Genomic DNA, 19,223 nt, shown 5'->3' with positions numbered 1-19,223 from the left:
GTCAGACTCACTGTATTAGTTCATTTTCACACTGCTACATAGAACTGACCAAGACTGGGCAATTTATAAAGGAGAGAGATTTAATTGCGTCACAGCTCAGCATGGCTGGGGAGGCCTCAGGAAAGTTACAATCATGGCAAAAGGTGAAGGGGAAGCAAGGCACCTTCTTCACAAGGTGGCAGGGAGGAGAAGTGCCAAGCAAAGGGGGAAGAGCCCCTTATAAAACCATCAGATCTTGTGAACAGCACGAGAACAGCATAGCGGAAACCACCCTCATGATTCAATTACCTCCACCTGGTCTCTCCCTTGACATATGGGGATTACAATTCAAGAAGAGATTTGGGTGGGGACACAAAGCTAAACCCTATCACCCATTCAGGAGTCCCTCTCATGAAGGTCCACCTTAGAGCAGGGCAGGATTCTTGACCTCCCCCCAAATGCGTTGGGATTTCCATCAGAAAGAGAACTCAGGACACTGCACTCACTGGCCTGTTCTTGGGTCCAGATTGGTTAGAAGAGGCTTATCATCTTAAGCCCAAAAAGAATGTTCAGGAAATGTGTTTGTCTTGGGTATCTCTTTCCCTTGAAAGATTAAGATAAGAGGAGGAAAGGGTGGTGATAAAGGAATTAGCAGGTCAAGAAGGAAAGAAGGCTACACACTACAGCATAAGAAAGCACCCTTCTGCATGACCAATCATGGAGAAGCAAACCGAAAGCTTGTCAAGCATGTGAAGGGCACCAGTAATACTTCTATTACCTGAGAGACGTTGACATGCAGTACGGTAAATGCATCTTTCCAAGTTGGTCCCTCCAACACAATTGTCCTCGTTTTTTGTCTTTTTTTTTGTTTTGTTTTTTGAGATGGAGTCTTTCTCCGTCACCCAGGCTGGAGTGCAGTGGCGCAATCTTGGCTCACTGCAACTTCTGCCTCCTGGGTTCAAGTGATTCTCCTGCTTCAGCCTCCCCAGTACTGGGAATACAGGCACCCACAACCACACCTGGCTAATTTTTATATTTTTAGTAGAGACAGGGTTTCATCATGTTGGCCAGGCTGGTCTTGAACTCCTGACCTAAAGTAATCCGCCCACTTTGGCCTCCCAAAGTGCTGGGATTACAGGTGTGAGCCACCATGCCCAACCTGCTGTCCTCACTTAACAAATGAGGTGATGAGATCAAGAAAGGGTCCATGTCTCCCCCTACTCACATGGAAATGTGGTGGATGAGTTTCCTGAGGCTTAGGACAATAGACATTTATTGTCTCACAGTTCTGGAGACTAGAAGACCAAGATCAAGGTGTCGGCAGGGCATGCTACCTCTGAAGGCACTTGGGAAGAATCACCCCTTGCCTTTCCTAGATCCTGGCGGCCCTGGGCACTCCTAAGCTGGTGGCAGCATCACTCCAGCTTCTGCCACTCTTTGTGTGTCTCTGTCTGTCTCTGTCTCTTCCTCTTCTTATAAAGACACAAGTCACATTGGATTTGGGGCCACCCAAATTCAGCATGACTTCATCTTAATTAACTATATCTGCAAAGGGCCTAGTTCCAAACAAGGTCACATTCTGAGCTTCCAAGTAGATGTGAAATTTGGGGAACACTCTGCCACCCAGTAAACTTGGATTCTGACTCGGCAGGGTGACTCCAGAGCCCACACCCTGAACACTGGGCTAATGTTGCCTCCTGCATGGCCCCACACTGTGAAGCGCTATTGACACATACACGGTGTGAAATCCCCAGGGAGTTGACGATCTACATGAAACCACAGAGGGGGAAAATCACACCACTGCGGTATCCATGTGGGCTTCTAGAGGCCATAGAAATCTAAAGGGGAATGTGGCAGATGAGGGCTGAGCACCTTGAGCACAGGCAGCACCTGGACAGGTTGGGAAAAAAGACCCACACTAAGGCCAAGAGAGAGGTGAGACTAGGAACAGCACATTCCAGAAGGAGCATGTGGCTGGAGGGTGATGGAAAATGAGGCTGGAGTAAGGAGATGTTAGAGATGCTTCAAAGACAGGCGGAGGGACTTAGATCTAATTTGGAAGGAAAGGAAAATTTTAATGAGGACGAAAATGATAAAATACAGGCTTAAAGACTTCTCTGGCAGAGGTGGGCAGGGTGAGTGTGGAGCCTGGAAAAACTGAGTGTTGAAACTTGTTGACAAAATATGCTCATGTGTGTGTGTACAAATATGCAGAGGCATGGTGGTTGACTCTTCTCTACGACATTTTAACAACCTGCCTTAGAAAACAAACCAAATATGAAGATGCTCACATACTTTCATCCCTCCTCCAGGAGAGCCCCCTTCCTTCCAGCCCCAGATACACACATACACACAAACACACACATACACACACACACACACACACACACCCTACTTCTCCTCCCCACCCATGTGCACCCCAGCCAAAAGCTGAGTGAAAAGGAAGGTGAGAGAAAGAGAAATAAAAATGCCTGAAGCAGCAGCCAGAAGAGAAGACGGCCAAGACATCAATCACCTTTGCACTGTTCACAACAGGCTCCCCTCTGCTTGATGGCCAGGGCACAGTCTCGGGACAGCACGGGGCACTTCTCTCTCTTACATGTCACTTCCTTGTTCTAGACAAAAAGAGACACGAGAGATTTGAAATAGACATCAAACAGAATTCCCCAAATCCTAACACACCACAGAGGTTTCCCGAGCCCCACTCTTATCTGGCCTTCACTTGGCAAGAAGACGCTGTGAGAGCAAATAGGATTTTGCCATCTCTGAAACAGAAATACCCATCCAGGAACACAGGACTTTGGAGATCAGAGTCAGATGAGAGGAGATGAAAAGTCCCTTCTTTACAAAGCCAGCTTCACCTAGATAACCGATTGCCAAGGGAGAAGTTCTCTCCCGCTCCTTCAGATTCTAAGGTTTCTTTTTAGTACACACTACAGAAACGATAATATTTGTGTAAACCATATTTTGCCTGTTGGGCTACCTGGGCCAGGACTGCATCGTGAGAACAAAAATATTTTCACATGGCCGTCCAACAATCCTTAATAGTAGAGTGCATTAAAATGCAGCAATCTAAAGTTCCAACTCAAATAATGACAAAGTTGAATATTGGATCGGCTTGGTAAAAGAAAAAATAATATTCTACATGCCAAGCAGAGACATGGACGTCAGTGTTTTCTAGCTGTGGGACAGCTGTGTTATATTAGCACTTATGCTAATGAACATGTGGTGAACATTTGCATCTTTGGTTTTTTCCTGAAAGGTTAGCTGTTAAAATGTCTTAAAGAAGATACAAACATGATGAATATGCCTGTTTGTATATGGATTGTATGCACCTGAACCAAAAATACTGTCTCAAAAAATTCAACAAAATGTGAGATTTATCAAGCGGCGACCACATGCTAGCTGATGTGGCTTTCATTCTCACTAAAATTCTGTGTGGTCAGTATCGTTATCCCCATTTTGCAAACAAGAAAACTGCTGCTCAGAGAAGGTAGCTGACTTTTCCAAGATTACCCAGCTTTCCAGTGGGAGAGATGGAACTCGAGATGAAGATATAAATGTGTGCACACCTATGCCCTTCCCTGGATAACAGCAAGCACTACCAGTGCCTCATCTCGGGGCAGGTTGGAGAGGAGCAACTGGCCGGCTCTGCTCACCTTGAAATGAACCTAGAACTCTCTTGGCATATGTATTAATAAAGAAGAAAACCAAACTCAGCCCTGATAACAAATTTGAGAAAATTCTCAAGTGTACCCAGTATGCCTCCATGTCATGAGACTAAGAAGATCTCACCATTTCTTGCTCAGAACCAAGGAGACACATGCGAGCCTGCAGGTGTGTGTGTGTGTGGGTGTGCATGTGCATATGTGCCTGCGAGCTTGTGTGTGAGCTGAGAGTGAGTTCTACGGGGAGGGTTGGGCCTTGCCTTGCCCACAGCTGTTTCCGTATCAGCCCTGTTATTTCCCTGCCCTCGTGGCTTTTGCAAGGCCAACTGAGGCACAGAAACAATAAGCCACGACCGGTGTTGCTCAAACTTGTCCACTGAATGGCACATATAGAAAATGACACTCACTTCTGTTAAGGAACACTGGAATGAATGTGGTGAATATTCTCCTGAAACTGTCCTAGGACTTGTCTGACACCCAGAGAAAGGGCATCGATCCACAGCCACCTGCACCCCACACCTGCAGGGGCTGCTGCTGCTGTTTTGTTTTTTCATTTACTGGTTGTCCTTATGATGGGAGGGTGACCTGAGTCATCCAGTCTCTCTCTCTCTCTCTTTCTCCTTCTCTCTCTCTCTCTCTCTGTCTCTTTCTCTCTTTCTTTTTTGGGATCTGTTATATGGTAAGTGCCCTCAAGGGGCTGACCTCATTTACTCTTAAAATCCTGTGAGACAGGGGCCCTCATCCTTAGCTGCACATTACAACCCCCTGTGGAGTTCTTAACAAAGACTGCCATGGTCTCCCACCCCCTGAAGCTCAGATCTGGTTAATCTAAGGACCAGGCATGGGTATTTGTTCAAGCTCCCAGGTAATTCCAATGTTCAGCTAGGGTTGAGAACCACTGCCATCAGGGGAGAGTATTTCTGTGGCCACTGGGGCTGAGCTGGGATAAGGAGCTGTCCACAGTCCCTTTGTGAACAGCAGACCTACAATCTGAAGCCAAGCATACTGGCTCCACGCTCCCCAGAACTCCTTCCCTCACCCCCTTTTCTCCATGATAATGGTGGCATCAAGGCTAACTATAAGGCACAGCCCTTAGATTTATTTTTATAATTTTTTCTTAAACTACAAAGGTCATACATTGTTATGGTCACCATTCAAAATAAAGAGACATATTTTTTACAAATTAATAATCTCTCCCAACTCCCACCAAAGTCATCACAGATAGCCACCAGGTATGTATGCTGCTTGGTATTGTTGACAGTGACTTCATTTTGAAAAGCGTAGTTCTTGCAAGCTAAATTTTATACCGACTCTCCCACCCCAAGAGAATTGTGAAAGAACTTCATTAACAGAGCTTCTGTTACCAGGACTGTATGGCTTTATGCATTCAGCAAACCTGGCTGCAACCTGGCTGCGGCCTTAGCCAAGGGCCACTCCCAAGCGCATCTCCTCTCTGAAGGGAAGAATCTTCAGATACAGAGAGTTCAAAGCTCTCAGGGCAGTCAAAGTGATGGCACAATCTGGGATCTGATAAATAGGAAGGCACACATTCGCTTAAATATAGGAACTCTGCTGACTTAGAAACCTGGGAGCCAGTCAAAATCCATAACAGGATCCCAAGATTCATAATAAATAGTTTGTAATTACAGTCCAGCACAAAAGTTATTCCAACCAGATGGTTTGTAGATTCACATCTGGATTTTTTTTTTTTTTTTTTTGTACACACACATAGAACAAACCTAAACCTTAGCTGTAGGTTTAGTGGGTTTTTTCCCCCTGATTACACTGGGAGTTTTTAAATATTCTATCAACGGTCACATTGGTACAGAACTGCCATATCTGATCATTGCCCTGGTGTCTGATTGGTGTGAATGTGGAGTAGTCTTTGGAATCCCAGGCCTTCCAAGAAAAAACTTTAAAAGCTCAGGGAATTGCTGGTGAGAGCCTGATTCCTCCATTTCCTTAATTGAGTCCAGCAGCTACAGAGTAAATTCAAACACAGGTTAATTAAGACCACTCCATTCACTTTCCCAATTTTGCCAAGAGACAAAAACACTTGTTCTTGAGCCAGTGGCTCTGGAGAGAAGTGGCACACGCAAAGCCATGCCTTCAGGACTCCCTCACCCCCTGGGCTGCCTCATCCCCACATGCACTATGTGTCACCACTGTGACTCAAGTTCAGGGCTCATTCCGTTCACATCTTCATTCAAGAAACATTTTCTAATACTGGCTCACACTTACTGAACTCATTCTCTGTGTGTTCAGGCTCTGTGCTAAGAATCTTATGTGCATTTTTTTCACCAAAAATTCCCAATGATCGCCATCTTACAGAGGAGGGATCAATGTTAGGAAACTTGCCCAGGGTCACCCAAGACACAGATCTGGAATACAAATAGAGGCCTGTCATTTAAATGCCTTCCCAGGCATTCAGGATGCAGAAGAGAACAAAATAATGATCCTGCCCTCAGGCCCCAGGGGAGATTGGTGTCTTCCTGGTGGCTCCAGACAGGAACTCTCTAACGAAAGCAGAGCAACTCCAGGGGCCTGTGTCATGGCCAACCATGGGAAGGTCTGCAGACACCAGCTGTTTTCTGGTAACAAGGAAAGTTGTTCCAATTTGGATATCAACAGAGATGTGCCTATCATGCCTCTGAAAGCCAGACTGGCATCCTCAAACACTTTTCCCCAAATCCCAGCTTGAGTTTGAGTCTCTCCAGATCTAAACAAGAGAAATGGTAGCAAAAATACACTCAAGGAAAAGGTCAGAATACTCTAAAAAAAAAAAAAAAAAAAACCTAACCAATGAATAAGAGCAATAAACCTTACTGCATCTTTCATTCTTAGTCTCCCGTGTGTCCCTCTTTCTACGGTTGCCAGCCAGTGGTCTACCTGCTGTCAAAGGCGTCTGTCTGCATTACTGCCTTCTTTCAGGAAGATAGTTAACCGATTCTTTAACATTGACCAAACACATCAAAACCCAAAATGTAGCCTCTGGAGGCACATTAAATGAAGTGCCAACATGAAAAACTAAAAGGGGGGCATAGGGAGTAAAACATTTTTTAAAAATCAACATGACTGGCAACAAAGCTCTATAAGGATTTGAGCCAAACCACAGCTCCCGCCGCAAGCCAAGTTCAAACAGGATTCCGGCAGCCAGCTTGCTGTGTCTGAGATCTGCCACGAGATGGCAGCACAGAGTCCCCGGTCTCAGGAATTGCAGCCTTGAGACTGCCAGAGCCTTGGGAGTATTTCCCAGTGTCTGATGGGGAGAGAAATGAGCTCTCCCATGAGCGTAGGGCGGAGGGGTACAGAGAAGATAGCAGAGCACCGCTGTGAAACGTTCTCGTGTGCTTTCCTTAACCAGAAAAACATGCTTTTGAGATGCTTCCGTTCTATTCCCAGCCCCAATGTCTTGAACGTATTTTTTTTTTCAAAGATTCTTCCAGAACCAATCCTATTATGGAATACGAAAAGTATTCCTTGACCTTTCATTTATAATAAAAAATAATAGAATCAAAATCTGGAGAGGAAAACGCAGCAGCTAATATGATGAGGGTAGTGGAGGGAGAAATGTCTGCGGGCGGATCCTTTATTTTTAGACTATGAAACACCATCACAAATCTCTTGAAATAAGAGTGAAAATGAAAATACCTCGTGTCTGCCTGCTGATCGTCCATTTGGTTAGCCATGTTGAAGATCAACACAAGACCCTTCCCCTAGATGATGGCATTATTTTCCCTCCATCCCTGTCTCTGATGACAGCAAAGCCTGCCTGGGAGGCAAACAGCTGTCATTTGGCAAACTAGCAAATTCAAAGTGACAGATCTTTTTTCAGGAAACTAAGAAGGCTGTGAGGTTGTGGTATTTTTTTCTGCCCGAGTGAACAATACTCAATATGTCAATGAAGCACACAGGCCAGGTAGTGTGACTGCTGGGAATAAAGTGGCGGGGTGCCCTGTTATTCCATCCCGGTAGTCTTTGTTGGGGAGGAGCTTACAGATTTTGCTGCCTTCAAGAATTCCCCACCAAAATACAAATACCCCTGGAGGTAGACCCACATTCATCCCAAATAGCCAATTTCCTGGGATAGATGCCCCAGCCTGGCGACTCTGAGAGGGAAAGTTGCTTAGCAGTGGAGGCTCTAAAGCTGAAAAACAAAGCCTTGGCACACGTATCACTATACTCAGTGCTGCGGGAGGGAGACAGAAATCATACAGCAAGGTTCCTAGTCTCCAGAAACCTACAAGCTCTTGGGGAAAATAAGACAACAGACAACAGCAGATCACACAAACACTGTGGTGTAACTTCTGGCACAGTGAGAAGCACGAAAGAGATCTTCACCTTGATTCAAAAGCCATCACCATTGCTGAGCACAAATAGGACATTTTGATGCTTACTCAAATTTTTATTATCTGAGAACTTACACAATAGTGGTCCATGTGGAGAGTCTCAAGATGGCTCAAATAGGAATTTGTTGTTAGGAATATGGATGTCTTGTTTCAAGTGCCCCAAGGAGGAGGAAGCAGGGGAAGCTGATCCCACATCAGCGTGTATATTCTCATCGGAATTTCTAGTCTCTCTATGTATGAAGTCAAAGAGTCAACTTCTCCTTGAAGTATCCCCATTGTAACCCAATTCCAGATCCCAAAGAGCCCAAGAGAACTTTTTAGCACTTTTGAACCCAGGTCACAATTTCTCCCAGGCAATATTATACCACTTCTCATAAACAGAAGAATAATACTTCAGGTTTACATAGCAGCTTTCTTCTAAAGATCTCTGTAGACATTATTTCATTAATCCTCACAGGTTTCTTAAGATTTGCAGATGGAGAAATGGCACACAATGAGGCTGTCTCAGATCCCTCAAAGAGGCAGCTAGCAGTGGACCTGGGAACAGAACCCAGTTCCCAGCCTGGCTTACGGGATCAGCTGGGAAGGTTAGTTTGTAAAGCACAGCACTAAAATGTACAGAAGTATCATATTCAAATTAGGTTAGCTCCAATAGGCTGTTGAGACTTTAGGAACAGACTAGTATGTAGTTAAGCTAGTCTGCAGATTTTCTGGACAGGCCACCTGGGCCAAACAGGCGAGGTCTCCTGCCACGTTTCTGCCCTAGTACAAGGTAACCTATGAGAGGTACCATGTAAGGGATTACCCAGGACTTGGGTAAGCAGACCAGACTTTAAGCCAAGGTTCTAGAATGAAGAGACGGAAACAAAAGCTGAAAAAAGAAGTGTGTTGGCAGCAACCAAAGACCCAAAGGGGCCAGATTTCATTGCTTTTCTTTGAGACAGGGTCTTGCTCCATCACCCAGGCTGGAATGCAGAGGCACAACCATGGCTCACTGCAGCCTCAAGCTCCCAAACTCAAACAATCTCCCATCTCAGCCTCCAGAAGTAGCTGGGACTACAGGCATGTACCACCATGCCTTGCTAATTTATTTTTATTTTTATTTTTTTGTAGACACAAGGCCTCACTATGTTTCCCAGGCTGGTCTCAAACTCCTGGGTTCAAGTGATCCTCCACCTCGGCCTCCCAAAGTGCTGGGATTATAGCTGTGAGCCACTGAACCCAGTGAGATTTCATTGCTTATCAGCAGTTCTGATCATTGGAAATTGTAAAATGAAGTGATGACCTCTCTAGAACATTCGGTCAGGGGAAATCCTGAGCAAACGAGCATGAACTCACAGACAGGAGAGAATGCAAGCTTATACCTGCTCCAGCCTGTCTCCTTTGGACAAAGTCTGTTCTCAGTCTCTTGGAAAATAATAATGGAGCATGGGTAGGGGGGCCCTGAGATAGCCCAGTGGTTGCCAATGGCAGTATTAAATTTGATTGATGATTTATTATTTTAATTAAGCTTTTGCTTGCTCATTCTTCATTACTGATAGTAAAATTGACTTCCCCATAACTCTTACACAGAAATATCTGGAAGAAAAAAATAAAAGGCAGTTTGGTCAGCCACAAACCCTAAGTGTACAAGTCCAAGGCTCTGGGTCATGTCTCTCAACTCAACAGAACTTGAAAAAAAATAGAAAGACAACATGAAGAAAACCATTTCTAAGATGAAGAACATGAAGCTGAAAGGGAAAAGGACCCAAACTCCCCAGCTGAAAGAAGTGGTTTCACCCAAGACCTCTTTCCCAACTGAGTTTAGTCCAAGAGATGGGAGGTGTCAACTGTGGCCCTTTGCACAATATACCTCAAGCCCTTAACGTAAAGTGGCATTTCCAGACCTTTCTGCAACCCCAACCTCCACTGCTTTTGCAAATCCCTTCCATAGTCAGGGCCACAAACAAAGCTGATCCATCTCTAACCAAACAATGAAGTAACATAGTGTTTTCCAGGCAGGTTGCTGAACTATTAAGAATAATAACACCTGACATTTATAGGAAATCTATTATATGCCCCACCATGCTGAAAATGTTTTGTGTATTTTGTCATTTAACCCTTGCAAACAAGCCTGAAGAAGGCACTGATTTACTTCCCATCACATCTTATAGGTAAGTAAACTGAGGCACGGAGAGGTTAAACGGCTCACCCAGGTTTACATAGCTAGCCAGGGCAGAGATTCAAACCCAGGACTCTGATATCAAAGCCTATGATTTCATCACTATGCTATATAGCTTCATTTAGAGGCTAAGTGAGCCACCTTTCCCTTGCAGCTAAGAATTTAAATGTTTGCCTTTGTTGAGCACCCCATTTTCAGACCTTTATAAACCTTGGTGCTTTATGGTTTCATTCTGAACACAGAAGTAAAAATAATGCCTTTTAGGAAAGACAGATTAAATCTCTGACTTAAAAACTCAAAACAAGTCCCAGTCTCTGAGTGCCTGGTCATTTGCAAGGCTGACCAAAACCTGGACCCGAACCTGCCAAGTCCTCTCATTTCTTCTTTGATTTGAGCAGAAGAGTGTACTCTCTTGGGAGGCTTGCAGCATCCCACGGCCATAATTTTGTAGACTTAATGTTAAAATGTCTTGCAAGAACATCATGCAATTCATTGCACTCCATCTGGGAGTGTTATTCTTTTTCCCTCCTGTCTAGGCTCAACGAGTCTTTACCCCAGAGACCCAGGCCCTGGCAAACACGCCTCCTCCGGCCCAGCTCACAGTGCAAACTCTGAACAAAGCTGCCCTTGAAGCCCGAACATTTAAAAAGACTTTATGAAGCCCACTGGGGCCCCCCGATTATTTTGCAACAAGTCATATCCCATGAAGAAATTCACTTCTCTGCAACACAAAACAGAGGGAGATTAAAGAAAAAGGCAGGGGGGTGGAGGAAAGAAGTAAGACCCCCTGAGGTTCTGTCTGGCCAGAATCGTGTCTTTTAGTACCCATATCCCCTACAAAGACGATGTTCTGATGATATATGGCCCTAATACATCACTAAATGACAGTGTTCTCCTGATCCTATACCTTGAAAATATGACACGTGCCAGCAGAGGCAATGGGGGATTAATAAGGAGGCCCTTCTGATATTTACGTTACCTAACTATTCCATTTTTTTTTAATGGGCTTTAGTTTGTTGGAGGGATTGTTTTGGGTCCTATTCTGTTTAAGGATTTAGGTCTGGCTTTTTTTTTTTTTTTTTTTTTGGCTTTTTCAAGAAACTCACGGAACAAAGAAACACAGGCCATTAGAGTGTCCTGGCTGCTCAAGTAGAAGTCTGATTTAAAACAGGGCAGTGTCAAACAGCTCCTCATTCTGTTTAATCATATTTTGAAATGGAACCAAAACATTAGAGATGGCAGAACACAAAAAAAAACAACCACCAAATAAAAATAGTAGCCCAAAAGAGAGTAGCACTGCCTGTTTTTTATTAGACTGCGCGTCGTATAAGCAAAGGGTCTGCTGGCAACAGCACATTTGTGTAACTGGAATGGAGGGAACACGCAGAGCCAGGGATCGAGCCCCGTGGGCCCTGTCACAGATGCAGCTCTGCCACCGTGCTCAGTTCCCAAAAGCAAACAAAAAACCAACAGGTAGGTTGCAACTCACTCTGCCAGGCATGTGAACCGAGAGGGTTCATGGTGGCGTCCTGCCTTTACTGGGCCCAAATGCCTCAGTCAACCCTTCTCTCTTCCTAACAGAAGAGACTCCAACAGCTGGGATGTGGGATGGGGTCGGTGCGGCAGAGAACACTTCCAAAAGACTCCTGGGAAGAATCTGCAGGCCAGGGGTGAAGGAGAAGGAAGCCCTGCAAAGCAATGCAGCTTCACACGCAGGAGGCCAGGCTGCTTCCTCAACACCTCTGGTTATTTTACACTGCTGGGCGCCCTTCAGCACATGATGAATAATAAATCTGCTTCTTCCTCTGCCCAAAAGGAAAACAAAAAGGAAAGGGGTGATGAAACTCTATGAATATTTTTATACCTTTCTGGTGAGTTCTTTTGAACTAAGTAGAAGATGATGAACCACATTTTGGGGGTCCAACTCCAACTACCTGTAGGATCCGGGGCTCAGAAGGCATTATTGGGGCTTTCCAGTCCTGGGGTGACAGTGCAGAATCTTCTGGCCAGGTTGGTAGGGATTTTGGAGGGAGTGGGGAGTGGGGGTAAAGAGTTTAAAAGTGGTAATAATATTAGGTAACTCCATAGGAAAGCTCGAGACCTGACATTAAAGAAGGTGATAGCTGGAGATATTATTTTGACAGCCCCTTTCTTGACTTACTGCAATATAGGAAGATGGGCTGTCTGGTATCAAAAGAAAGATGACTCAATGGACCTTTTAAATATGCACAGAAATGACTCTCTGTCAAGGGTAGAAGAAGAGTGAGCATGTACAAATCACAGAAACAAAATATCTTAGATTCCCTTGGCAATTGGTGGTGGCAAAACCATATCTCTGTGAGGCCAGCCCTGGAAGGTTGTCACTCTTGTCATCAGCGCATGTCTCCTTCCTGGATAACGTACCTACAGTGAACCCACCAGGTCCTCAGGTGTCTCTCATTCCTGTGGGTCAACAACAAGCCACAGAGCCAATGAAACAGAAGATTTTTCACAGATTGCCCCGTGAAAGCCCACGTGCTGTTGGGAGTTACAAAAATACCTGATCTTGACAAGTAAATGGAGCTGACATCCATGGGATTAGGCAGGGCGGAGGAGCCGCTCACAGCCCATCTGTCATTTTGACAAAGTAACTTTCTGGTCACCAGTGAGACACTCTTAAAGACATCTGCACAATTGACCCTGACCACCAGCAATCACAGAGCCTTTCAAAGGTCCCCCCGGGATGAAAAGCCGATCAGCTTTAGAGCTGGATCCTGCAGTCCTCCCTCTGGGTAACAGTAAGAGCGGGGTGACATCTCAGTTGCTGGAAAGATCTCTGCTCCCAGGCTATATTTACGTTGGTACCAACTACAGAGGTTGTCCAGTTAGCCCAAGTAATGTCAGGTAGGGAAGCAAGGGAATAGGAGCTCTCTAGCTGGCTAGAAGTTCGCAGAACTGAAAATGTCAGCCTTGGACAGCGTCCCCTGTATGAAGGCAATTCTGTGAGCTAAGGTTTGTCTGACTCATTCACCAAGGCCATTAGCACTGTGTTCTCTTCACCAAAGCTTTCCCAAGGATCACATGCAGATGTCAGAAAAAAACTGGAGAAGCCACAGATTTATTTCCTCAGTTTAGAATGTAATTTTAATCCACTAGTGTCCATTTGCAAACTCATTAAACCATCAAAGAAAGCCAGATTTGCAAATAATCCATTTCTGAGATTAAGGTGTTATAAAGAAACGAGAGTGGCCAATTACACACAAAACATTATCAACATAAACTTGTTGCTGAAGGGATTCACAACATGTGCCCATTTTTTAAAGGAAAATATCAACCATAATTAGAACCCTTAATCATTAATTTTAACAAGGGTTCCATCACAAAACGGCTTCCAGAAGCTTTAGCATATCTAAAATAAGGCAAAAATTTCTGCAGAAAAACAAATGGCTATTAGAAACATGTGGCATGGGGCTATAAACTTGGGTTTTTCTGCAGGTTAATCACTGCAGATTTCAGATCTATCTGACCAAAAATACACGAATCTGTTTAACTAATATTTTTGAGCCCCTATGGCAGGCCAGGTACTATGCCAGGTTTTGATGGGAACAGAAAATATGAATCAGACACATCTTCTGCCCTAGAAGAGCTTACAATCCAAGAGGGAGAGAGACTAAAGCATAAACACAGCACAGGCACCTCCCATGTTGCAACATGAGGGGCAAGAAGTGCTGGTTACCAGCTCAGAGAAGCTCAGACGCGAGGCAGGAATCGTCAGTTTTGACCAAATTCCACTGCCACAAACTCCTTGAAATCATCCAAAGTCTCCTGGTTCTTTAGACACTACGTGGCCCACTGAAATGAGCCTTTAAAAAGTTCTGTTATACAATTATCTCACTGAGACAGAATTTGACCTACATCTGTCAGCGTTTTGGGATTGACAATTCACAAATGAATCTCCTTCTTTGATGACATTCCAGTGCACTCCAAGTGAAGTGTAGCAACCTCACTTGGCATTTTGAGCAGTAGAACAGTTTGTTTCACATATATCACAGGAAAATAAGGGGTGCTTATCTTGTGCCACGATTTTCTTGCTCTATGAAATTGTAATATTTAACACACTTTGCTAGTCTTTCATCTATGTTTTAGGTAAAATATAAAACATAACATACTGGATTTTAACTTACATTCTAAAACCAATAATTATCATGCTACCAAGTCCACCATGAGTGGTAATATCTATTTTTAAAAACCAGTTTTCTATAGGAAATAATTTTATTCTAGAATTATATTGCTCATTGCACAGTTTGTTATGATTACATTAGTGTTCATTGGAGACAACTTTTCATCTTTCAGTGGATTTGTTTAGTTTTCCCACCATCAAACATGATACCCAAAATAATGTAAGCTACGAAAAGGGCAAGTCATCATGACCGAAAAAGCAAAGTTTAGAGTACAAAGAAAAGTTCATCATTTATTTTGGGGAAGAGAAATAGTTAGATCTTCAAATTACCAAATCAAAAAATTAAACCCAATGGCAAAGATGAATTCGCCCAACAAATATGCACTGAATAAGCCCAGCATTGTCCCACGTATTGAGGGTACAAATGAACATGGGAGGGCCATGTCCTCACAGGGCTGACGTTCTAGCAGGGACGACTGCAGGGAACACACCCACGCATGATCTCATGGGCACTAGGGAGGGCTCTGAGAAAATCAAGCGGGACAAGGGAACAGAATAACAAGGTGTGAGGCTGTTGGAGACAGTGATCAGAAAAAGATCCTTTAGGCCGGGTGCAGTGGCTCGCGCCTGTAATCCCAGCACTTTGGGAGACCGAGGCAGGTGGATCACCTGAGGTTAGGAGTTCAAGACCAGCCTGGGCAACATGGTGAAACCCCGTCTCTACTGAAAATACAAAAATTAGCTGGTGGCGCGTGCCTGTAATCCCAGCTACTCAGGAGATTGAGGCAGGAGAATCGCTTGAGCCCGGGAGGCAGAGGTTGCAGTGAGCCAAGATTGCGCCATTGCACTCCAGCCCGGGCGACAGAGCAAGACTTCGTCCTCCCCTCTCAAAAAAAGAAAGAAAGAAATAAAGAAAATACCCTCTATTAAGGAGACATTTACTCCTACACCTCAGTGAAGGAAGGAGAATACGTCAATATATTGGATATGTGTGCTCCAGGCACTGGAAAGAGCAAAGCTCCAGTGGAGAGGGGGTTGGGTATCCCGTAGGAGTAAGGAGGAGCACAGCGCGCAGCTGGAGCACGGTGAGAGGGGAAGGTGCTTTGGGAGCTGAGGCCAAGATGGCGTCCGGAGCCGCAGCGCGCAGGGCCATGTAGGTAGTGGTTATTCTTCAAGCTGGATTCCGGGTGAGAGGAGAAGCCACGGGAAGATTTTGCTCAAGTAAGTCAAATAATTTGTATACTTTCAAATGGTCACTGGTTGATAACATATTGTCCAAAGTCAAGAGCAGTAACAGGTAGTTAGAAATAATCCAACTTATTTTCAAGACTATACTGACAAGAGTTGCTAATGAATAGAACATGGGATGTAAGAGAAAGAGGAATCCAGGACCCCATGGTTGATGGATGGCCTGAAAAAATGGAGCCATGCAGCTGATGTCACTGGCTGGAGCAAACTAGGTTTAAGGAGTGGTGACAAAGGAGATCTCCATTCAGGCCATTTTCAGTTTGAGATGCCTGCTCAACATCCACGTGGAGACACCAGGTAGACACGTGGACAGATGCAGCTGGACTGCAGGTGGGGGTGTGGGAACATAGATGTGGAAACTATCAGCATACCAGTGGTTTTAGGCAATGGATCTGTATAAAATTGCTCAGGGTATGAATATAAATAGAGAAAACGTCTTGGCTGAATCCTGGGACCCTCCAATATTTAAAGTTTGAAAAGATAAGGAAGATCCACCAAAAAGAAAAATAAACCAATAAAACATAATGCTTATAAGTCCATCACATAAATGCTGAGAGAGCGCCATATGTGAGTCCTTACCCACATAGACACATAAATGTGTGCATGAACAACTGTAAGTGACCCTGGCTGCGGTCATTACATTAATTCAGTGACCACCAGAGGTCACCTTCTATCAGCACCTGCCACTGTGCCAGGTATTTTAGGGACCAAGATACCCCAGGATGGGAGGGTTGCTACCCACTATTTGAGGCTCACAGGAGAGGCTGCCTAGACTACTGCTGGCCACTCCTTACTCCCACTACTACTAATTATCACACCTTCCAACCTAAGTCTCAGAGGAAATCTGATTTGACTTAAGTTTAGGAAAATTCTGGTTGGCTAGAAGACCTAAGAATTCCAGGGAAAAGGTCTAGGACCAATGTCCCCACAGAAGAGGGCACAGACCCACTAGAGCTTAGTGACCAAAGGCTGGGTGAGTATTACAGACGGGTGTGTGTGGCGGAGGGGACATTAAACACTTGGGAGTAATAGAAAGAAAGGGAAAGGGAAAATCTCTCAATTTAAGTTTTTCTTCTCTGTTATACTGAGTCCTGAAGCCAAAGCCTGGGAGAGAACAGAGTCCACAGTCAGAGGCCTCTTATAATGTCTCATGCCAAAAAATGTGGCTCAAAACTAGGACCGTGATACTCATCTACAGCAGGGTAACTAGGATCCAAGGATCTAGGGAAGAGTCTACACATACAGGCAGGCACTGGCCAAGAAGCAGAGAAGCCAAGACCCCACAACCATCTTGGGACTCACTCTGGAAGCGAGTAAGAGACAGAGGTCAATGGAGAAACAAGCTAGCAATGTGTTGCAATTTTGGGATTAGTACTCCTCTCTGTACTTTCAACATAATATTTCCTTCCCACATATTAGAAGGTTGTTAAAGTTTCCCCTGGATATCATCTTCACCAGGCTAAATTATATCAGCACATCATCATTAGTAAAAAAAAAATATTTACTAACCCCCACCTGAACACTTGACACTGCTCCAAGCTAGCCCGTTAGCTAACCCCAGCAATCCCTCTCTTGAGCCTTTGATCAAGATCACAGGTGGGTCTCCACCAGTTCTCCACCAGATCATCCAGTTTTGCCTAGTTCCATGTGGCACACTGAGGGGTGTCCAAGGGAGAGAATACAGTCATGGGTTCTTAGTTTCTCTTTCTGGTTGGGCCAGTAAAGCCCCTTCCTCATCCCTCTTTTCTGCTTATCACTAGAGACGGAAACTAAAAACCATGACTTCAGGATTCTAAAAGCCTAATACAAAACAAAACAGAACAACAACAACAATAAAATAAGGTGAGTTGGACAAGCTCGTCCCTGCAAATGTCTAACTGCCATGCTGCGTGGAGGAGGAACAGCCAGCCTGCTGTAATGCCTTTTGTATATTTCAGTATCAGGCTGAACTCAAGAATTAAAAGCTGAGACAGAAAAACTAGACACAAAACTTGGGGAATGGTGACATCATGGAATTTCTGCACTAATGACAAAGAAAGAAAATAACATGGTAAAAAATACTAAGGATGGAGATGAATCCCTGGAACAATGGAATGCCAGGCTAATTCAAAAAAAATAAGTTTAAAGGATTCCCATTTAAAGCATGGGAAACTGTCCAGCAACATGACCAGAATTCTGTGAAGGTGATGGGAATCAGAGCCTGGTCGGCTTGACTTTACACTCTCCCTCAGCAGGGAAAGAAAGGTGTGGGCAGAAACAGGGCAGCAAAAGGGAGAGAAGAAAACTAAAATTTCCCAGAATGGCTTTATTCTGCACGAGGAAGGGACCTGCTGGCTGTAAGTTGCCAGCCGAAGGAAATAGCTTCTTGCAGAGGTTTTGAGGAGTCGAAGGGGTTGGGGTGAAGTGGGGAGCTGGATCCCGCTTCACCTGGCCCTCAACTCTGCGTTGTTTGCGTCTGGTTCCTCCAGATGCAGCTGGCGCACTAGGTCAGTCATAAAACCCTGGGTTTTGTGTCAGATTGCTCCATCTAGTTGGCTCATGCTGAAGAAGCAACAAACATAACGTCACGTCAGCTTCGTCCTGCAGCTGCTACCCATCCCAGAAAGACCACAGGAAACAGAGCGTATCCCTGTGGGAATCCATCCCATGAAGAGACTGGCAGCAGCCCAGCGGGTCAGCCTGTCCCACCCAAAGGCGCCAGGCAGGACCCTACCTAACTAGACTGCAAGGACTGTTGAAAACATAATCCCCAGGGAAGCTATTTGCTGGGTCTCTCTCACTGACCCCGGGGGGTATTCTCTCAACCCTTGTGGTTAGGTGGCATTCTCTGAAAGAGAGCTCTGTGGACTCTGCCTGGGATTGGACAGAATTCTGGTACTTGAATTGCAGTCCCAACTCTCGCTGATTGCAGTAGGACTTTCGCCTTGCTTTTTCTTTTCTGAGCCTTAATGAGCTCAACTATGAAACTGGTTTCTTAAGAATGCCAGCGCTACCTCACAGGGTGGCTTTGAGGAAAATGAAGTTTGGACTATCCCCAGCTTATGAATACACTGTTTGTTCGCAAAATAGCTATTAAGATTAAAGTTTGCAAGGCGCTGTTCTAGATATTTTGATCATGAGAATTAGACGCTATTCCTACCCTGAAGAAGCTTCAAGTCCAGTAGAAGAGAAAGTCATGTAACTAATCAATAAAAATCTAGAGGAGAGAGGAGTAAGGGTTATAATAAAAAAGTAACCAATATAAAGTCTTCAAGGAACAAGTGAGTTCATTCTGATTGGGTGACTAAAGGAGGTTTGATAAAGATGACATGAATAGGAAAAGAACACTTCAATAAAGACAGCTAATGTGCAAGATAATTGTGTAAAAGTTCCACGAAAGCAACATTACGTAAACGGTAGTTGACCTATTATAAAGTTTTACACCAATAACAGAATTTCAACTGTACCTAACCAAGATTTAAATATAAACATATATGTTTATGTTTATATTCATATACCCTTCTCTTTCCATTACATGTCAGGTGGAAAGAGTGTTTCAAAAATTGGCCACTGCATAAAAGTCACTGGAAGGGTTTATTAAAAATGGAGCTTTCTGGCCAGGTGCGATGGCTCACGCCTGTAATCCCAGCACTTTGGGGGGGCCAAGGTGGACAGATCAC

General features: G+C 44.5%; 1 protein-coding gene across 3 annotated transcripts in view, besides 1 other annotated feature; it reads right to left on the bottom strand.

Annotated features, from left to right (window-relative positions):
• BMPER (BMP binding endothelial regulator) overlaps window positions 1–19,223 on the bottom strand; it is a 251,513-nt gene that overhangs the window by 216,545 nt on the left and 15,745 nt on the right. For all 3 annotated transcript variants that reach the window (NM_133468.5, NM_001365308.1, NM_001410872.1), the window contains one exon: window positions 2,495–2,594. In NM_133468.5, the coding sequence (NP_597725.1) occupies window positions 2,495–2,594 (100 nt within the window). The remainder of the gene's footprint in view (window positions 1–2,494; window positions 2,595–19,223) is intronic.
• Window positions 6,709–6,975: a silencer, noted in NCBI's record as "fragment chr7:33972520-33972786 (GRCh37/hg19 assembly coordinates)". NCBI's record gives its function as "represses an EF-1alpha promoter that drives an FKBP-Casp9 reporter gene in an ReSE screen in HepG2 liver carcinoma cells {active_cell/tissue: HepG2}" and the evidence as "EXISTENCE:reporter gene assay evidence [ECO:0000049][PMID:32094911]".

This window comes from Homo sapiens, chromosome 7 (assembly GCF_000001405.40).
Source record: "Homo sapiens chromosome 7, GRCh38.p14 Primary Assembly".
In the NCBI taxonomy this organism is placed as follows: Eukaryota; Metazoa; Chordata; class Mammalia; order Primates; family Hominidae; genus Homo; species Homo sapiens.
Note: the sequence above shows the minus strand (reverse complement) of the source record. Positions and strands in the feature narration are given on the sequence as shown.